At 37.8% G+C, this 22,614-nt stretch overlaps 1 long non-coding RNA gene across 1 annotated transcript in view, besides 1 other annotated feature; it reads right to left on the reverse strand.

Moving 5' to 3' along the window:
- LOC105377509 (uncharacterized) overlaps positions 1 to 22,614 on the reverse strand; it is a 227,163-nt gene that overhangs the window by 17,321 nt on the left and 187,228 nt on the right. The window contains exon 4 of the long non-coding RNA XR_007058347.1: positions 14,237 to 14,615. This is a non-coding gene — a long non-coding RNA (uncharacterized LOC105377509). The remainder of the gene's footprint in view (positions 1 to 14,236; positions 14,616 to 22,614) is intronic.
- Positions 2,857 to 4,056: an enhancer, noted in NCBI's record as "CDK7 strongly-dependent group 2 enhancer chr4:158744759-158745958 (GRCh37/hg19 assembly coordinates)". NCBI's record gives its function as "activates an origin of replication core promoter dependent on BRD2, BRD4, P300/CBP, MED14 and CDK7 cofactors, with strong dependence on CDK7, by STARR-seq in HCT116 cells {active_cell/tissue: HCT116}" and the evidence as "EXISTENCE:reporter gene assay evidence [ECO:0000049][PMID:35650434]".

Genomic DNA, 22,614 nt, shown 5'->3' on the forward strand with positions numbered 1-22,614 from the left:
AATGGCCATACTGCCCAAAGCAATTTACAGACTCAGTGCCACTCCTATTAAACAACCATTGACTTTTTTTTCACAAAACTAGAAAAATCTATTTTAAAATTCATACGGAACCAAAAAAAAAAGCATGAATATCCAAGGTAATTCTAAGCAAAATGAACAAAACTAGAGGCATCACACTACCTGACTTCAAACTATACTATAGGGTTATAGTAACCAAAACAGCATAGTACTGGTACAGAAACAGACACATATACCAATGGAACAGAATAGAGAACCCAGAAATAAGTCTGCATTCCTACAACTATCTGATCTTTGACAAACCTGACAAAAACAAGAAATGGGGAATGTATTCCCTATTCAATAAATGGTGCTGGGCTAACTGGCTAGCCATATGCAGGAGACTGAAACTAGACCCCTTCCTTACACCATATACAAAAATTAACTCAAGATGGGTTAAAGACTTACATTTAAAACCTAAAACTATAAAAATTCTTGTTGATAACCTAGGCAATATCATTCTGGACATAGGCGTGGACAAAGATTTCATGGTGAAGATGCCAAAAGCCATTGCAACAAAAGTAAAAGTTGACAAATGAGATCTAATTAAACTGAAGGGCTTCTGCACAGGAAAAGAAACTATCCAGAGAATAGACAGACAACTTACAGACTGGGAAAGAATTTTTCCAAACTATGCAGCTGAAAAGTTCTAATATCCAGCATCTATAAGGAACTTAAACAAATTTACAAAAAAGAAAAACACCATGAAAAAGTACCTAAAGGACATGAACAGACACTTTCAAAGGAAGACATACATGTGACCAACAATCATATGAGAAAAAGCTGAACATCACTGATCATCAGAGAAACACAAACTAAAACCACAATGAGATACCATCTCACTCCAGTCAGAATGACTATTATTAAAAAGGCAAAAAATAACAGATGCTGGTGAGATTGTGAAGAATAGGGAACACTTATACACTGTTGGTGGGAGCGTAAATTGCTTAATTCATTGTTGGAAGACAATGTTACGATTCCTCAAGGACCTAAAAATAGAAATACCATTCAATCAGCAATGCCTTTGAGAGGTGACAAGGTGCTAGCAGCCCTCGCTCACTCTCCGCGCCTCCTGGGCCTCAGCGCCTGCTCTGGCCACACTAGAGGAGCCCTTCAGGCCGCCACTACACTGTGGGGGCCCCTTTCTGGGGCTGGCCGAGGCTGAAGCAGGCTCCCTCTGCTCACGGGGAGGTGTGGAGGGAGAGGTGCGCGCGGGAGCTGGGCTGCGCTGGGTGCTAGTGGTGCTGGCGCAGATTCTGGGTGGGTGCAGGCTCTGCGGCCCCACACTCCACATGGCCGGCAGGTGCCTGCTGGGCTTGATCAGGGGAAGAGCTCCCTCTGGGCTGTCGGAGTCCCACTCAGAGTGCCATTGAGAGGTGAAGCCAGCTGGGCTTCTGGGTTGGGTGGGGACTTGGAGAACTTTTGTGTCTAGCTAAAGGATTGTAAATGCACCAATCAGCACACTGTGTCTAGCTAAAGGATTGTAAAGGCACCAATCAGCACTCTGTGTCTAGCTAAAGGTTTGTAAATGCACCAATCAGTGCTCTTTGTCTAGCTAGTCTGGTGGGGACTTGGAGAACATTTGTGTCTAGCTAAAGGATTGTAAACACACCAATCAGCACTCTGTCAAAACGGACCAATCAGCTGTCTGTAAAACGGACCAATCAGCTCTCTGTAAAATGGACCAATCAGCAGGATGTGGGTGGGGCCAGATAAGGGAATAAAAGCAGGCTGCCTGAGCCAGCAGCGGCAACCCACTGGGGTCCCCTTCCACGCTGTGGAAGCTTTGTTCTTTCGCTCTTTGCAACAAATCTTGCTGCTGCTCACTCATGGGTCTGCATTACCTTTATGAGCTGTAACACTCACAGCGAAGGTCTGCAGCTTCACTCCTGAGGCCAGTGAGACCACGAGCCCACCACGAGGAATGAACAACTCCAGATGTGCCACCTTTATGAGCTGTAACACTCACTGTGAGGGTCTGCAACTTCACTCTTGAAGCCAGTGAGACCATGAACTTACCAGACGGAAGAAACTCTGGACACATCTGAACATTTGAAGGAACAAACTCCGGACACACCATCTTTAAGAACTGTAACACTCACAGCAAGGGTCCGCGGCTTCATTCTTGAAGTCAGCAAGACCAAGAACCCACCAATTCCAGACACACCATTACTGGGTAGATACCCAAAGGAATATAAATTGTTCTATTATAAAGACAGATGCAAGTGTATGTTCTTTGCAGCACTACTCACAATAGCAAAGACATGGAATCAACCTAAATGCCCATCAGTGATACACAGAAAGAAAATGTGGTACATATACATCATGGAATACTATTCAGCCATAAAAAACATGTCCTTTGCAGGGGCATGGATAGAACTGGAGGAAGTTATCCTTAGCAAACTAACACAGGAACAGAAAAACAAATACCGTATATTCTCACTTTTAAGTTAGAGCTAAATAATAACACATGGACACAAAGAAGGGAACAACACACACTGAGGCCTATTGGAGGATAGAGTGTGGGAGGAAGAAGAGGCTCAGGAACAATAACTATTGGGTACTAGGCTTAATACCTGGATGACAAAATAATCTGTACAACAAACCCCCATGACACATTTACCTATAGAACACATCTGCACATGTTCCCCTGAACTTAAAATAAAAATTAAATTTAAAAAATAGTGGAGGCATTATGGCAGACAAGGGGCAGGACTAGATTGCAGCTCCGACTTGGACGGACAGAGCAGCGTGCAGAGGCTCACATCATGGATTTTTAGCTCCAGAACGACTGCAGGAATAAATCAGGAAACCTGAGAGGACCCACAGACCCCCCTGAAGGAAGCCAACTGCGCCTGCAGGACCCTGGAGACACCCCAAATACAGTGAGTGCCCAAACTGCAGAAGTGGAAAAGGGAGATCCTCTGCCCCGGAACACACACCCTTACAGGGGAAATCGAAGGTCTAGTTTACAGGAGAAGATTCTGAACTTACCTGGAGCTGAGTCGATGTAGAGAGCCAAGTGAAATACACAGGTAGAGGAAGAAGTGGGAAAGGCCCTGTGAGCTCACTGGGTCCCCAAGCAGGTCATTCCTGCCTGGCACCATAGGGATCCTTCCGGAGGGTGGCCAGAGGTGCAGGGAAAACGCCACAGGGAGAAGGAACTCTCCAGCTGATCTTTGTAACAATTTGAACCTGTTCAGAAGCCTCCTGGCCAGAACTCTGCTTGGGGGGAAGGGCATGAATCCAGCAAGCAGACTCCACAGGCCGGGGAAGAACTAAAGCCTTAGTATCTTTTTTTTTATTATTGAGATGGAGTTTTGCTCTTGTTGCCCAGGCTGGAGTGCGATGGCGCAATCTCCGCTCACCACCTCCGCCTGGGAGGCAAGTAGCCCAAGGCAAATTCTCAGCCCTGCTTGCCCACTTTCTGGAAACAGACTCAGTGCTGTGAGGCGGGGCATGGTGGGAGTGAGACCTGCCCTTCGGATTGCGTGGGAGCTGGGTGAGGCCTGTGATTGCCAGCTTTCCCCCACTTCCTGACAACCTGAGTGACTCAGCAGAGGCAGCCATAGTCCTCCTAGGTGCATAACTCCATTGACCTGGGAACCTCACCCCTAACCCCCACATCAGCCACAGCAAGACTTGCCCCAGGAGAGTCTGAGCTCAGACATACCTAGCCCTGCCCCCACCTGATGGTCCTTCCCTACCCACCCTGGTATCTAAACAAAAAGAGCATATACTCTTTGGAGTTCTAGGGCTCCACCCACCACCGTTCCTCTCCATATTTCCACAACTGATGCTCTCTGGAAAGCATCACCTCCTGGCAGGAAGCCAACCAGCATAAAAATGGAGCATTAAACCATAAAGCTAAGAACCCTCACAGAGTCCATTTCACCCCCCTGCTACCTCCACCAGAACAGGTGCTGGTATCTGCTGCTGAGAGACCCACAGACAGTTCACATCATAGGACTCTGTGCAGACAACCCTCAGTACCAGCCTGGAGCCTGGTAGACTTGCTGGGTGGCTGGACCCAGAAGAGAGATAACAATCACTACAGCTTGGCTCTCAGGAAGCCACATCCATAGGAAAAAGGGGAGAGTACTACATCAAGGGAACACCCTGCAGGACAAAAGAATCTGAACAACAGCCTTCGGCCCTAGACCTTCCCTCTGACAGAGCCTACCTTAATGAGAAGGAACCAGTAAACCAACTCTGGTAATATGAAAAAACAAGGCTCTTTAACACCCCCCAAAAAAATCACACTAGCTCACCAGCAATGGATTCAAACCAAGAAGAAATCCCTAATTTAACTGAAAAACAATTCAGCAGGTGCAGGGAAAACACCATAGGGAGAAGGAACTCTCCAGCTGAACTTTGTAACAATTTGAACCTGTTGAGAAGCCTCCTGGCCAGAACTCCGCTCGAGGGGAAGGGCATGAATCCAGCAAGCAGACTTCACAGGCCAGGGAAGAACTAAAGCCTTATTATCTTTTTTTTAAATTATTGAGATGGAGTTTTGCTCTTGCTGCCCAGGCTGGAGTACAATGGCGCAATCTCTGCTCACCACCTCCACCTGGGAGGCAAGTAGCCCAAGGCACACACAGGTTCAGCAGGTTAGTTATTAAGCTAATCAGGGAGGTACCAGAGAAAGGTGAAGCTCAATGCAAAGAAATCCAAAAAAGATACAAGAATCAAAGGGAGAAATATTCAAGGAAATAGATAGCATAAATAAAAAATATCATAACTTCAGGAAATAATGAACACACTTATCAAAATGCAAAATGCTCTGGAAAGTCTCAGCAATAGAATTGAACAAGTAGAAGAAAGAAATTCAGAGCATGAAGACAAGCTCTTTGAGTTAACCCAATCCAACAAAGACAAAGAAAAAAGAATAAGAAAATATGAACAAAGCCTCCAAGAAGTCTGGGATTTTGTTAAATGACCAAGCTTAAGAATAATCAGTGTTCCTGAGGAAGTAGAGAATCTAAAAGTTTGGAAAACATATTAGGGGGAATAATCGAGGAAAACTTCCCTGGCCTTGCTAGAGACCTAGACATCAAAATACAAGAAGCACAAAAAACACCTGGGAAATTCATCACAAAAAAGATCATCACCTAGGCACATTGTCATCAGGTTATCTAAAATTAAGATGAAGGAAAGAATCCTAAGAGCTGTGAGACAAAAACGCAAGGTAACCTATAAAGGAAAACCTATCAGTATAACATCAGTTTTCTCAGCAGAAACCCTACAAGCTAGAAGAGATTGAGGCCCTATCTTCAGCCTCCTAAAACAAAACAATTACCAGCCAAGAATTTTGTATTTAGTGAAACTAAGCATCATATATAAAGAAAAGATACAGTGTTTTTCAGATAAACAAAAACTAAGACATTCACCATTACCAAGCCTCCACTACAAGAACTTCTTAAAAAAGATCTAAACCAGCCAGGCGCAGTAGCTCATGCCTGTAATCCCAGCACTTTGGGAGGCCAAGGCGGGCGGATCACAAGGTCAGGAGATCAAGACCATCCTGGCTAACATGATGAAACCCTGTCTCTACTAAAAATACAAAAAAAATTAGCCGGGTGTGGTGGTGGGCGCCTGTAGTCCCAGCTACTTGGGAGGCTGAGGCAGGAGAATGGCATGAACCCGGGAGGCGGAGCTTGCAGTGAGCCAAGATCGTGCCACTGCACTCCAGCCTGGGCAACAGTGAAAGACTCCATCAAAAAAAAAAAAAAGCTCTGAATGTTGAAAGAAATCCTGGAAACACATCAAAACAGAACCTCTTTAAAGCATGAATCCCACAGGACCAATAAAACAAAAACACAATTTAAAAAACAAGAAAAAACAAAAACCAAGGTACACAGGCAACAAATAGCATGATGAATGGAATGGTACCTCCCATCTCAAAACTAACATTGACTGTAAATGGCTTAAATGCTCCACTTAAAAGATACAGAACTTCAGAATGGATGAGAATTCACAAACTAACTATCTGCTGCCTTCAAGAGACTCATCTAACACATACGGACTCACATAAACTTAAAGTAAAAGAGTGTAAAAGGCATTTCATGCAAATGTACACCAAAAGTGAGCAGGAGTAGCTATTCTTACATCAGACAAAACAAACTTTCAAGCAACAGCAGTGAAAAAAGACAAAGAGGGACATTATATAATGGTAAAAGGCCTTGTCCAACAGGAAAATATCAGAATCCTAAACATATATGCACCTAACACTGGAGCTCCCAAATTTATAAAACAAGTACTAACAGACCTAACAAATCTTAACAAATTTTAAAAAATGAGATAGACAGCAATATAATAATAGTGGAGGACTTCAATACTACACTGACAGCACTAGACAGGTCATCAAGACAGAAAGTCAACAAAGAAACAGTGGATTTAAATTATACCTCGGAACAAATGAACTTAGATATATACAGAACATTTCATTCAACAACCACAGAATACACTTCTATTCAACAGTGCATGGAACTTCCTCCAAGATAGATGATATGATAGGCCACAAAATGAGCCTGAATAAATTTAAGAAAATTGAAATTATATCAAGCACTCTCTCAGACCACAGTGGAATAAAACTGGAAATCAACTCTAAAAGGAACCTTCAATACCATGCAAATACATGGAAATTAAACAACCTGCTCCTGAATGATCATTGGGTAAAAAACAAAATCAAGATGGAAATTTAAAAAATTCTTTGAATTGAACAACAACAGTGACACAACCTATCAAAACCTCTTGGATACAGCAAAGGTGGTGCTAACAGGAAAGTTCATAGCCCTAAACACCTACATCAAAAAGATTGAAAGAGCAGAAACTGACACTTTAAGGTCACACCTCATGGAACTAGAGAAGCAAGAACAAACCAAACACAAACCCAGCAGAAGAAAGGAAATAACCAAGACCAGAGCAGAACTAAATGAAATTGAAACAAACAAAAAAATACAAAAGATAAATGAAACAAAAAGCTGGTTCTTTGAAAAGGTAAATAAAACTGATAGACCATTGGCCAGATTAACCAAGAAAAGAAGAGAGAAAATCCAAATAAGCTCAATTAGAAACAAAATGGGAAATATTACAACCAACACCACAGAAATACAAAAGATCATTCAAGGTGACTATGAACACCTTTATGTGCATAAACTAGAAAACCTAGAAGAAATGGATAAATTCCTGGAAAAATACTACCCTTCTAGTTTAAATCAGGAAGAATTAGATACCCTCAGTGACCAATAACAAGCAGCAAGATTGAAATGGTAGTTAAAAAATTACCAATGAAAAAAAGTCCAAGACCAGACGGATTCACAGAATTCTACCAGACATTCAAAGAAGAATTGGTACCAATGCTATTGACACTATTCCATAAGATAGAGAGGGAACCCTCCCTAATTCATTCTGTGAAGCCAGCATCACCCTAATACCAAAACCAGGAAAGGACATAACCAAAAAAGAAAACTACAGATCAATAGTCCTGATGAACATGGATGCTAAAATCCTTAACAAAACACTAGCTAACCAAATCCAACAACAAATCAAAAAGATAATCCACCATGATCAAGTCGGTTTCATACCAGGAATCCAGAGATGGTTTAACATACACAAGTGAATAAATGTGATATACCACATAAACAATTAAAAACAAAAATCACATGATCATCTCAATAGATGCAGAAAAAGCATTTGACAAAATCCAGCATGGCTTTATGATTAAAACTCTCAGCAAAATTGGCATACAAGGGACATACCTTAATGCAATAAAAGCCATCTATGACGAACCCACAGCCAACATAATACTGAATGGGGAAAAGTTGAAAGCATTCCCTCTTAGAACTGGAACAAGACAAGGACGCCCACTCGCACCACTCCTCTTCAGCATAGTACTGGATGTCCTAGACAGAGCAATCAGACAAGAGAAAGAAATAAAGGGTATCCAAACTGGTAAAGAGGAATTCAAACTGTCACTGTTTGCTGACAATAATCGTTTACCTTGAAAACCCTAAAGACTCCTCTGGAAAGCTCCTAGAACTGATAAAAGAATTCAGCAAAGTTTCCAGATACAATATTAATGTACGCAAATCAGTAGCTCTTCTATACACCAACAATGACTATGAAGAGAATCAAATCAAGAACTCAACCTCTTTTAAAATAGCTGCAAAAAAATAAATACTTATGAATATACCTAACCAAGGAGGTGAAAGATCTCTACAAGGAAAACTACAAAACACTGCTGAAAGAAATCATAGATGGCACGAACAAATGGAAACATCCCATGCTCATGGATGGGTAGAATCAATATTGTGAAAATGACCATATTGTTCAATGCAATTCCCATCAAAATACCACCATCATCCTTCACAGAATTAGAAAAAAACAATCCTAAAATTCATATGGAACCAAAAAAGAGCCCACATAGCAAAAGCAAGACTAAGCAAAAAAGAACAATTGTGGAAGCATCATGTTACCTGATTTCAACCTATAATATAAGGCCATAGTCACCAAAACAGCATGGTACTGGTATAAAAACAGGCGCACAGACCAATGGAACAGAACAGAGAACCCAGAAATAAACCCAAATATAGCCAACTGATCTTTCACAAAGCAAACAAAAGCATAAAGTGGGGATAAAACACCCTTTTCAACAAATGGTGCTGGGATAACTGGTTAGCTACATGTAGGAGAATGAAACCGGATCATCACTTGATACAAAAATCAACTCAGGATAGATTAAGGACTTAAATCTAAGACCTGAAACAGAAAAAAAAAAATCTGAAGATAACATTGGAAAAACCCTTCCAGACACTGGCTTAGACAAGTATTTCATGACCAAGAACCCAAAAGTAAATGCAATAGAAACAAAGATAAATAGCTGGGACTTAAAGTAAAAAGAGACGGCAAAAAGAACAGTCAGCAGAGAAAACAGAAACCCACAGAGTGGGAGAAAATCTTCACAATCTATACACCTGAAAAAGGACTAATATCCAGAATCTACAATGAACTCAAACAAATCAGCAAGAAAAAAAGAAACAATCCCATCAAAAAGTGGACTAGGACGTGAATAGACAATTCTCAAAAGAAGATATACAAATGACCAACAAACACATGAAAAAATGCTCAACATCACTAATGATCAGGGAAACACAAATCAAAACCACAATGCAATACCACTTTACTCCTGCAAGAATAGCCATAATCCAAAAAATTAAAAAACAGTAGATGTTCGCATGGATGCGGTGAAAAGGGAACACTTCTATACTGCTGGTAGGAATGTCAACTAGCACAACCACTATGGAAAACAGTGGCAGATTCCTTAAAGAACTAAAAGTAGAAATACCATTTGATCCAGCAATCCCACTACTGGGTATCTACCCAGAGGAAAAGAAGTCATTATATGAAAATGACACTTGCACACACGTTTATAGCAGCACAATTCGCAAATGCAAAATCATGGAACCAACCCAAATGCCCATCAATCAATGAGTGGATAAAGAAACTGGTGTATATATATATGTATACATATATATATATATGTATATATATATGTATACATATATATATGTATATATACACATATATATATGTATACATATATACACATATATATACACATATATATACATATATATATATGTGTATATATATATAGTGGAATATTACTCAGCCATAAAAAGGAATGAATTAATGAATTAATTTAGGTCATTAGGCAGTGACCTAAATGAGACTGGAGACTATTACTTTAAGTGAAGTAACTCAGGAATGAAAAACCAAACATTGTATGTTCTCACTGATATGTGGGAGCTAAGCTATGAGGACAAAAAGGCACAAGAATGATACAATGAACTTTGGGGACTTCGTGGGAGGAATGAAAGGGGGTGAGGAATAAAAGACTACAAATAAGGTGCAGTGTATACTGCTCAGGTGATAGGTGCACCAAAATCTCACAAATAAGCACTAAAGAACTTCCTCATGTAACCAAACACAACCAGTACCCCCAATAACCTATGGAAAAAGAAAAAAAATAAAAATAGTGATATGCCCAGTATGATGTGATATTTATTAATAATAACCAGTCTAGGCATTGACCAGAAACCCATTTCATCACAAGATTTTCTGGACTTTTCAGGATTTTCCCTAGCTTAAATTTTCTATTCTCATTGAATCCTTAAGCCCATCCATGTATGTTCTGTATCTATGCTAAATTGGAGTTGCAGCACATTCTTCCTTTTCTAATTTCCCCCTGATATTCTTCATACAAACATATTTGGTTAAAATTTCTGGAAAACAGAGAGGGGCTTACCAAACTGTATCATAAAATAAGCAATTAAACATGGATCTTAATATGCTGGTTCATATGCATAAGTGAATATTACACATGTGTTTGTATAACATGTGCTTTTTCCCCTTCTTTCTTATTTTGGGATGCTAACCATATATTCAAAAAGGGGATAGTTACATTTAATTTTAAAATGATGAAGAAGTAGAACAGCACATACTAGGGACTATCTCTGTCATGGCTGACAGAGAAAAATATTCTGACATAATTTTTTTAATGTAATGTTACCAAAACTTTCTGCACCACAGTTTCCTGATGTGTAAAATAAACATGACAGTACCCACCTTATGGAGTTTTTGTGCTGATTGAGGGTCAAGCACTTAGAGGAGTGGTTTATGCCAAACACAAACTCAACAAGTATTAGCTGTAATTATTACTATTTTCATTCCTCCTTTTATAATGAAAGTAAAGAATGAACCAGAATATTATACCTATGCCATTAACCATGAATTTATCTAAATAATCCACCTTGTTTTTCCTCACTGATTCAGATTATAAAATGTTCTACCACCTAGATTTGTCAAAAAGGAGAGAGGTTTCTAAGAAGCAAATACACATACAGTTGACCCTCCTCATTATGTGTGGATTCTACAATGGAAAATTTGCCTACTTGCTAAAATGTATTTGTAATTTTAGCACCAAATCAATATACATGGTGCTTTCACAGTTTTTTCTGTAGGTGTGGAGAGCAGCACATTTTTGAGTCACACACATTCTGACGTTCTCAACTGCAGTCTAACAAAGTGATGTGCTGTCTTCTTATTTCAGCTCTCATATTGTAATCTACTGTCCTTTTTATATGTTGGTAATTTTGCTATTTAAAATGGTTCTCAAACATAGCGCCAAAGCACCGTGCTACGGCCTGAATTGTACTACTCCAAAATTCATATGTTGAAGGCCTAACCACCCCTACTCTCCACCATGTGACTGTGTTAGAGACAGGACCTTTATGGAGGTTATTAAGGTAAAATGAGAACATAAGGGTGGAACCCTGATCCAATAGAACTGGTGTCTGATAATGCTATGAGAAAGATGAAAAAGAAAATAAATTTCTGGATTCGTGAGATAAAAATATATTTTTTTATTTTATTATTATTATTATTTTGAGATGGAGTTTTGCTCTTGTTGCCCAGGCTGGAGTGCAATGGCCACACCCCCCGCTTCCCAGGTTCAAGCAATTCTTCTGCCTCAGCCTCTCGAGTAGCTGGGATTACAGGCATGTGCCACCACGTCCAGCTAATTTTGTATTTTTAGTAGAGACAGAGTTTCTCCATGTTGGTCAGGCTTGTCTCAAACTCCCAACCTCAAGTGATCCACTCGCCTCAGCCTCCCAAAATGCTGGGATTACAGGCATGAGCCACCATGCCTGGCCGAAAATAGATTTTTTTAGAAAGCATGGTGAAAAGCATTGTTGTGGGGAGGAAGTGCAAAAAAACTTACGTTATCTAGGGCCTGGAAAATATTAAACTCTTTTGGGCTAGGCATAAAATATGTTGAACTTGCAGGTGAGGTAATTTTGCAGATCAGGAGGCTGCAGAATTTTTTTTCTTTTTAATTCCCTGCTACCTGTAAAGGAGTTATGTGGAATAGGAGCCTGTCAACACTGATAAGACTGGTTTGTTTTACAAGGTCTTTGGCAAATGAACCTTTGGCAAATGGTCTCAAAGTCCCTGACAGTTAACTCATTCAAAACCATACAATTATTCACATGAAATATATCTTAAATAATGTGTCTTTAAACAGAAATAAACATAAAACAAGGTTAAATATTGATTGTTTGATGAAATGTTTCGACCAGACACTTGCAGGAACCTAAACCTGTGTTTCCCTTAGGAGCAGTTGTTCCCTAATTACTAATTCAGTGTTTGCAGTGACCTTAGAAAACATGACAACCATGAATAATGAGAATCATCAGCTGTATCTGTTTTGAAAGCTCTATTTTTACTTTAAATTAGAATCTGTGTTTGTTTTTATTTTTACATATCTTATTTTCTCATTTAAGGAAATATCATTCATCATTACATTCAAGATTGAACCCTTTACTAGACTCTTTATCTCAGTTATTCATTGCTTTTATTGTTGTTTTTGCATAAGCCTCTCAAATAATTATTTTGAATGTTCTTTATTCTTTCCCTAAATTCCAGGTTTCCATCTCTTATAACCCTCCTTTAGTCTAAATTATTTCCTTTTCTATTTCTTTAGTGTAGGTCTGCTAGTGATAAATTTCTTAGTTTTTTTTTTTTTTTTTTTTTGGCCAGAAAGTGCTGACATTGTGTCTTCATTCTTGAAATATATTTTTGCTAGATACAGTATTCCAGGATAATCGTTCTTTAGTTTCAGCATTTTAAAGTTATTTTCTACTACCTTCTGGTCTCTAATGTTTCTTATGCAAAGTCAATGAAATTTCAAATTATTGTTCCTGTGAGTGTAATAAATCATTTCTATGGTTGTTTCCACAATTTTATCCTTATATTTGGTTTTCAGTCAGTTAAATATGATGTGGGTTTTTTCTACTATTACCCTACTTGAAGTTTTCTGAACTTTTTAAATACAAATGTTTATGTCTTTCACCAATAACAGAATTTTTCAACTATTATTTCTTAATTTTTTTTCTGCTCACTCTGTTTTCTTTTTCTGGAATTCTAATTACACAATGGTAATAAGGCTCATGATACTGTCCTACCAGTCTCTTAAGTTCTTGTCATACTTCTTGAATATTTTGCCTCTTGTTAAATTTCACTTCAATAGTAAATTGAAGTTTCACCTATCGTCAACTCAATTTCACTGTCACTTTTTCTCCTTTCCCATTTGCTGATAAATCTAGTCTCTGTGTGTGTTTGCATGTATTCAGATATCATACTTTTCGCTGTAGAATTTTCACTGGTTCTTTTTTTTTTTTTTTTTTTTTTTTGAGACGGAGTCTCGCTCTGTCGCCCAGGCCGGACTGCGGACTGCAGTGGCGCAATCTCGGCTCACTGCAAGCTCCGCTTCCCGGGTTCACGCCATTCTCCTGCCTCAGCCTCCCGAGTAGCTGGGACTACAGGCACCCGCCACCGCGCCCGGCTAATTTTTTGTATTTTTAGTAGAGACGGGGTTTCACCTTGTTAGCCAGGATGGTCTCGATCTCCTGACCTCATGATCCACCCGCCTCGGCCTCCCAAAGTGCTGGGATTACAGGCGTGAGCCACCGCGCCCGGCCTTCATTGGTTCTTTTAAAAAGATTTTATTTCTTTACTGAGGTTTCCTATTTTTAATGTATTATTAGCATATTTTACTTCATGTACCTGGGAATCATTAGTTATATGGCTGCTTTAATATTCTTATCTGCTTATTCCAATATCTGGGTCAGTCTCCAATGATTACATTTTCTCTTGATATTGGATCATATTTTCCAGTTTCCATGTGAGATTGTGATTTTTTTCATGTGTTCTATCTAGGACTTTATGAATTATATGTTTTAGAGACTCTGGATTCCTTTATGTTCTTTGAAGAGTATTGATTTTTGATAATAGCAAGTAGTTAACTTAGCCATTCTCAAACCCTCAACTATGAAATTTCAGTTCAATTATTTTATTCCTAGGTGAAATTGTAATAAAATTTACTGTGCATACTCTGGTTCAGGGATGAACCATAGATTTGGGTGGCATGTATCCACAAAAACCAGGAGCCTCTCTTTAGCTCTCTCCTTCTTGGATATTCCTCCTCACCTTTTAGCTGTGGTAGTTGCTTTTCATACTCTACACCATTTCTCCCTATGTAGGTTTTAGTCATGCCATATGATACTGACTGCTGCATAGTCTTAAGCTATAAAAAATTTCCTATAAAACTTACCCAGTATCTGCATGATTTGGGTTGCTCTTTGATATTCAGGAAATTGTTATTTTTATATTTTGTCCAGAGTTTAGAGTTGTTATCTGTGGGAGGGATGATCCACTTGGAGCTACTCAGACATAACCATATGCAGAAACTCCATTTCTAAATTCAGTCTTCTTCAAGTTTATGTAAGTGTACAAGTCAGCTCTTCTACACATAATCGACCACAGAAATATCAGTGACATACAACAATAAATACTTATTCCTTATTCATCAGTCTTCATGTCAGCTGGGACAGTTCTACTTTGAAATGCAAATCAAATTCAGGTCTTCTTCCTGTGTTTCATTCTGGGGCCAAAACTGGAGGAGTAGGAGCTCTCTGAGACATGTTCTTCTCCTAACGCAAAGATTGGAAACATTCAAGGAACAAGCAGAAACAAAAAATGATTTCTTTTAGGCTTAGTCTTAAATCTGGCACACAGCCCTATCATTTCCTCCCACATTCCATCGGTCAAAGCAAATTACATGACCAAACCCAACATCAATGAGCAAGAGGTACACTCTTTCCATGGGAGAGGTAAAATTTTATATTTACCAAGAAATAATTTAATCTGCCAAATTTAAGTCATTCGACTAAGTTATGGGATAAAAGAATCCTACTCTTGAGATCCATAAAAATCTAGTGAGAAAGGCATAGAAATTTTTTTGTAATGTGGTAATTTTATGATAAAATACCAATCCTGGCTTATTTCTATTTCTATAAATATTTATCTCTCTATTTATGTCTGATAGAAAAGAAATGATATTATAAGCAGGAAAACTATGGGCCAATATCCTGCTGGAGTACACATACAAAGATTTTTTTAAGTTAATTAGCAAATAGAATTTAGTTGTATATAAAAGGCATAAGATACAATGATGATGCCAGGTTTATCTCAGGTATGCCACGTTGGTTTAACACATTTATAAAAATCAAGCAATGTAATTCACTCAGATTACCAAATAAAGCAGGAGTAAAAGCATATAGTAATCTAAATAAATATTAAAAGAATGACAAAAGTCATTATTCACAATAAAATATCAGAATAAATTATACAGAGAATAATTTTCCTCAACATCATTAAGGAAACAGAAACATTACAGCTAACATCATACTTAATAATGGAAAAGTTAATGCTTTCTACTTAGAATTGGAAACAAGGCTACTGTGTCTGCACTTTCCCCCAATGTTCAGCATTGCACTGGAAATCTCAGTCAATGCAATTAGACAAGCAAAAAGCCTTAATTAAAAGAAAAAAAACTTAAAATTGGAAGGAAGAGGTAAAATAGTCTTTTATTCAAAAATGGCATGATTTTTTTTTTCTAGAACACCCCCTGAAACCTATGAAAGAGGTAATAGAAATAATAAATGAATATAGCAAGGCCGTAGAGTACAAGATACAAAAATTTTTATATGATAGCAAAATAAAATTGTAAATGTAGTAAAAAACTCATTTCAGCTTAAAATAGCATTCAAAAACATTAGAGGTATTTTAACAAAATACTTGCCAAACGAAACAATTTTGCTAAAAGAAGTAAAAAAGCATGTAAGTAAGTGGAGAGGTAAAGCATGATCATGATTCAAAAAACTCAGTATAGTTAAGTTGTCAATTTACCCCCAAATTAATCTGTAGATGTAACACAAATCTAATGAATATTCCAGCAAGTGTTTTTGTAAAATTTGGCAATCTGATTATAAAAGTTACAGAAATGCAAATGACCTAAAATAGCCAAAGCAATCTTTAGAAGGAAAAACAATGGGGGAAAAAATCACCTTACCTTATTTTAAAACTGAGTATAAAGCTAAAGCAATCATAGTAGGATAAACTTAGCAAAGGGATAGACACAGATTAATAGAACAAAACTGAAAGTTCAGAAATAAACACACACACATATGGTCAATTGGATGTTGACAAAAGCGTCAAGGTAAAGTAAAACCTTAATGACATGCAACTGCATACATATTCAAATGGTTACAATTTAAAATCATAAGCATGAATGTTGCCAATTATATGGAACAACTACATTGCAGATCGGGAAGTGAAATTGTAAAATCACTTTGCAAAATATTTTGGCAATTCCTCATAAAGGGAAACATGTATTTACATATGACCCAATAATTTCATTCCTATTTACATAAGAAATAAAAACCTTCTGTCCACACAAAGACTTTCATGAAAATGTCTTTAGCAATTTTATTTGTAATAGTCCCAAACTGAAAGCAATTCAAATGTTGATCAAAAGGTAATGAGCAAGCATAATACAATATGCAATGCCATGAAATACTGCTCAGCTACTAAAAGAAACAAACCACTGATACATTCATTTTGTCATATGAAACAATTCAGAAACTTTATACAGAGTAAAAGGAGATAGACACAATGAGTATATAATTTATGATTCCATTGATATACAATTCTAAACATTTCAAACTAATCTATTGTGATGCTGTTAAGCAGTGGCAATGGAAATGTTCTTTGTGTTGACTGAAACGGTAGATTTACAAGTGTATACATCTGCCATAACTCATTGGATTGCATCTGTAAATGGATACTGACTATAGTAAAGCTGAACAACACGAAAAAGATTAAAAGTATGCACCTTCATTTGTTACTACTTAGTTCATACCTCGAATTGTTACTTGGCAATAACTAATAAACTGGTGTGTTTTCAAAGCTGGTATTGAATTGTTTTACTTGAGAGCATATCAAGTGATTTCTCTTGTATTCTTTCAGGTATACAGTAATCTTCATAACATTGAATTGTAGGCTAGGCAAATTATTTTATTCCCACTTTAAAAGTAGACACTCTGAAACACTCTGAGGTTAAGTTATTTGTGCAAGGTCACCCAGCTACTAAGTAGTAGATTCAGAAATCTAATCCTCTCCTTTTCTCTGTTCATCACTCTAAGTAATTCACCTGCAATTTTTTTGTGTGTGTGTGTGTGTGTGTGACAGAGTTTTGCTCTTATCGCCCAGGCTGGAGTGCAATGGCATGATCTCGGCTCCCTGCAACCTCTGCCTCCCAGGTTCAAGCGATTCTCCTGCCTCAGCCTCCTGAGTAGCTAGGATCACAGGTGCCCGCCACCATGCCTGGCTAATTTTTGTATTTTTAGTAGAGATGGGGTTTCACCATGTTGGCCAGGCTGGTCTCGAACTCCTGACCTCCTGATCCTACCGCCTCGGCCTCCCAAAGTGCTGGGATTACAGGCGTGAGAATTGTATATATGTGTAATTTGAATAATTTTCCAATTTGAAAATTGATGTTATTTTCTTTGTTGTACTTTGCAAGACAGAGCGTTGCATAGTTGACTAATCACTACTTAACTTTGTTCTCATTTAACCGCAGCTATTGTAAACAACTAGTTCCATTTGCAACCCACACATGCAGAGAACACTGCCTCCCATGTACTGTTTTTATCTTGGGTGGTTAATGATCCTGAATCCAACATCCACCAAGGTTATAGCTCAGGGAACTCTTTCAAAGCACCCGTTAGAGAGGGATTTTTTTCCTGCCTCTCAGAAGCAAGTTCTATGTGAACTACTGCTTTCTGACTCATCTGCCAAGTCCAGCACATTGCATTATGTCCTAAAGGCAATAGAGGAGTAAGCCAACCCATCAAATTCCTGCCATCAATTTGGTTTAAGCCAGGAGATTATTTCTCCTGGGAAGGATGTTTCACACCCTTCAAGCAATCCCTCGGACATGTTAAATATGTTTCTCCTTGTATGAGCACTTTCTATTTAATACCAAGCAAAAAAATATATTTTCTGAACCAGATATTTTCCTTATAGTTGTGCATTTGCTGTTAGTAAGAAGCAGAGGAAATTTAGTTGTGTGGGTATACGTGTGTGTGTAAGAGAGATGGGATGGGAGGAAAAGAGAGAGAAACAAAGAGGGAGACGGGGGAGGTGGAGAGGGAGAGGAAGAGAAAGAAGAGAGGGTATTAAAAATACATGTCTATTATTTATACATTCTGGAAGTAATTTCTGTACCAATTAAGAATGCTTTCAGGGTGTTCTTTATGACACGATATTGGGAAAATTTAAAAAGTAATTTACTTTAAAAAATAATACATATCCTGTCTATTAAATATATAATTTTATGGAAAATTACATTCTCAAAAGAGAGAATTTTTTATGGAATACATAACCGTAAGACAATTTTCACAAATGTGGTAAGCAGAAAATGTCTCCCTCCCCAAGATACCCTTGTCCTAACATCCAGAATCTATGACTATGTTCCTGTACATGGAAAAAATAAAAAAGAGACTTTGCAGAACTGATAAAATTAAGTGTTTTGAGATGGGACGATTATCTGGAATTATCCCAGTGACTCCATTGTATTCACAGGAGTCCTTACAAATAAAAAGGAAACAAGATGGTCAGAGTCCGAAGGAGATTTGAATATGTTGCTGTTGGCTTTTAAATGGGGAAGAGGTCATGAGCCAAGGGTCCAGGCAGCCTCTAGAAGCTGGAAAAAGCAAGGGAAGAGGTTCTCCCTGGTAGTCTCCAGAAGAAAAGAAATACAGCTCTGCCAGTGCCTTCATTTTAGCTCTGTGAGAGCCATTTCAGATGTTTGCATTTCAAATTGTAAAATCTGAGTTGTTTTAAGCCAGTAAATTTGTGGTAATTTACTAGAGCAGCAATAGGAAACTGACACAAGAATAGATGCAGAAAGTACTTGGATCTTTTTATTTCACTTTCATTCTAAGTAGATGACTGTTTTGCAGTCTTCATGGCTTGGAATTTTAACTGGGGGAATGTGGAACTGGCTGCATCAATTTTTAAGGCAAAATTGAATTGTTTCCAGGAAATCACCATCTTCACTATCAAAGGAGTATTAGGAAATATTTATCACCCTTCTGAAATTTGATACTATTTTCTAGGAGTGTACTTAGGTAGCATTTGAGCTCTCAGAGTCCATTTAGGTTTCTAGCACAGAGTAAGTGCTTAGTCTATACTTGTTAAATTAATGGTTGGAGAAAATGGCTGCCTACGAATAATTTGTAGGAAAGGGATTAGATAATGAATAAAAACACCTCCTCCACTAGCAGATTCTTGTCTGAGTGGCACTTTTATTCCTGTGGATTAAGACAGAGTGCATTTTTAAAGAAATGAAAGTGTAATAAGGAGTGATTCGCATATTAAGTCCATATGTTTTAGAGGCAAATAGCATAATAATGAAGGGGCATAAAGTCACAGTGTATAGTGATCAAAGTGCAGGCTCTGACATCAAACCACATTGATTCTAAGGCCAGATCTTTTATTTATAAGCTGTGTGGCTTCAGGAAGTTACTTACCATTTGTGTCTCATTTCCATCTTACATTAAATGAAGAAATAAGTGTACTTAACACAGAAGCTTATGGTGAAACATAAGTGATTTACCACAAGCAATCTGCACAGAAACATAGCAAGCATGCACTGAACACACAAAAAAGCTCAGACACTTAGGAAAAGGTAAGTCCCCAGGTAAAGTGAAGTGTAGTATTTCAGATAGTTGTGCAAGTGATTTTATTTTTACAGAAAATAATAGAAGTTGTTCATGGGATGCTGAAAATACACTTCTTTATGGAGACTTTGGCCTAGAGTGAGTTCTGGGTATTAAAACAATCTAACAGTAGTATTTTAATCTCCTAGGGATACTTTTTGAAAGAGTGAAGAATGTACATCTCAAAATTTGCCAGATTGTTATATTGATTATTTCAAGTTGAAACATTGAAGAAATTGTAGTTTCAGAAAGGGTTAGCTGACCTCTCTCTTCCAACATGTAGCAAGCCTAAAGATTCCTCTGGAAGGAGTACACTCACAGTACCAGGAAGAGAAAATAGCCCTTATCACCAGAGACTGGGAATTGAGGGCTGCAATATCTCTGAATAAATATACTTAACCAAGTGGCCCTTATTTTCTGCTAGCTTTATATCCCACATATGTTTCCTGACTCCCCTAGAAAATTTGCTCCCCCTAGGGCCATTTCTTCTCAAATTTGTCATTCTTTGTCTAAAACTTATAAAAGCATCTTGCTTTGGCCACTTCTTTGGACTTCACTCCACGTACATGTAAAACTATACTTTCCTCTTGTTAATCTGCCTGGTGACAATTTAGTTTCTAGATACAGCCAAAGAGCCCACATGAGAGCTTAAACGGGGATGATCTCTGGTGATCTCTGCTCCCCTACGCTTTCTTCTTTACCATCTTCCCATATATGTGTTGGCTTTTGATGACTTTTACCCTTTTTAAAGTCATGGGCTAACATTACTAACCTCTTTAACAGGGGAAAAAGAAAGCAACGTGCTCAGTTAGTATGACATTCACTGCTGGCGTCTAATGATCAATTAATTGAAATAATATCTGCAAAGCATTTAAAACAAAGTAAACATCAAAAATATTGGCTGTTGTTAAATGGCTACTTGTATATTACACCAAGTCACAGTAATGTTGCTCTAATTACGTACTTGTATGCTACCATGGCTGCGGAGCACAGACAGAGTTTGTGGACAGTACAACTCCAAGGGGGCACTATTGATATTATTTAGGAAATGACTACTGACTTTTGGTTTGCTGTTGATAAAATGCTGTTATTCCTTGTAATGTCCATCTACTACTGTATTTTAAAATTATTTATTTACAAGGAATACAAAATAAAATGTACAGATTTGAAGTTTTCATTTTGACAGATATTGACAATTGTATGCACCATGTAACCACCATCCAAAACAAAATATGGAACATTTTTATCATCCCAGAAATTTCCCTCTTTCTCATTACAGGTAAACAAGAACCTGCCCCAGAGTTAACCACTTGCTGATTTCTATTGCCCTCAAATAATTCTTTGTTCTTAGACTTCAAATAAATAGAATCATGTAAATGTATTCTTTTGTGTTTGGCTTATTTTGTGCAAATTAATGTTTATGAGAGTCATCTAGTTGTTGAGTGTATCAATGACTCACTTTTTTATTGGTGGAGCAATATTCCGTTCTATGAATATAGTAATAAAATTTGTTTTTCGGTTGCTTCTTGAAAGTAATGGCAAAAACCACAATTACTTTTGCACCAACCTAACAGTAATTTGATTTGCTTCCATTGTGGGACCATAATGAATAAGGTTGCTACGAAATTTCTTGTTAAATATTCTATGTTGATATGGATTTTCACTTCTCTTCAGTAAATGCCTGATTCAAGATAGGTCATAGGTCCAAATGCAGAAGCTAAAACTATAAGGCTTCTAAAAGAATAACAGGAGAATATCTTCAAGCCATTAAGAAAGGCAAAGATTTCTCAATAGACACAACAGTACTCAGTAGAAAATAACAAAATTGATACATTGACTTGATCAGAAAAAAATAGTCTCCTTATCTGAAGACGTCATTTACAAATGAATAAGCAATCCAAGGAGTGGGAAAAAAAGTTTGCAATTGGAGCATCCAACAAAAGATTTTTGTCCAGAATATATATAACTAACACAAATCAACAATAAAAAGACAAAGGCAGAGTAAAAAGCAGGCAAAACACCTGAACATATAATTGACAAAATAAGTTATCTGTTAGAGGACTCGAATTACCTAAGTTCAGGGCTTATTTTACCCTATGGTATTCTGACCATGTGATATTGGGGAAAAAAAATACAAAAATAAATTGTAACAAAATAGTAAGTCCAGGAGCAAACTCAGACATATATTTAACAACTTCCCTTTTTAACCCGTTATTCCATTGCCCTCAGTAACCCATTATTCTCACTGTCCTATGTCAATGATCTCCTCTCACCATACAGTAACTTGGGCTCCAAAGTATCCACTTTATTCTATCTCCTGGTTTTCACTAGAGTACATGTTATCAGCCACCTATTAAGAAATCATGTTTTCTCACCAAAATAACTCATAACATGGCATAGTTGTCTGGTAGTTTATTTAATTCTATTTGTAGGTTGAAACTTATCTGTTAATACAACTATACCTGAGTATTTATTAAGGAGATAAAGGGAAATAAGCACTGTGAGAATGTAAGTAAAACAATAAAAAGGCAAGAACTATGTCTTGGTCACAACTTAAGTCACACCACATAGGAGCCCTGACTCCACCTGTGTGGAAAAACATAATCCAAACCTCAGACATGTGACTGGAAATGATAGGAAATATGAGATACGCTACTTTCTACTAAACTGGAACCTGTAGAGGCCAGTCTTTATTCATATTAGACTTACTGAAATAGCCTCAGTTTCTGGTCTCCTGAGTAATGTGGTGTGATGAGCTGTTACTACTTTTTTTTCAGATTTGCTTTTGCTTATTTATTTGTTTGTGTTGGTTGGTTGGTTGGTAGGTAGTGAGGACAATATTTAATGATAAGGAGAAATACATATA

This window comes from Homo sapiens, chromosome 4 (assembly GCF_000001405.40).
Source record: "Homo sapiens chromosome 4, GRCh38.p14 Primary Assembly".
Classification (NCBI taxonomy): Eukaryota; Metazoa; Chordata; class Mammalia; order Primates; family Hominidae; genus Homo; species Homo sapiens.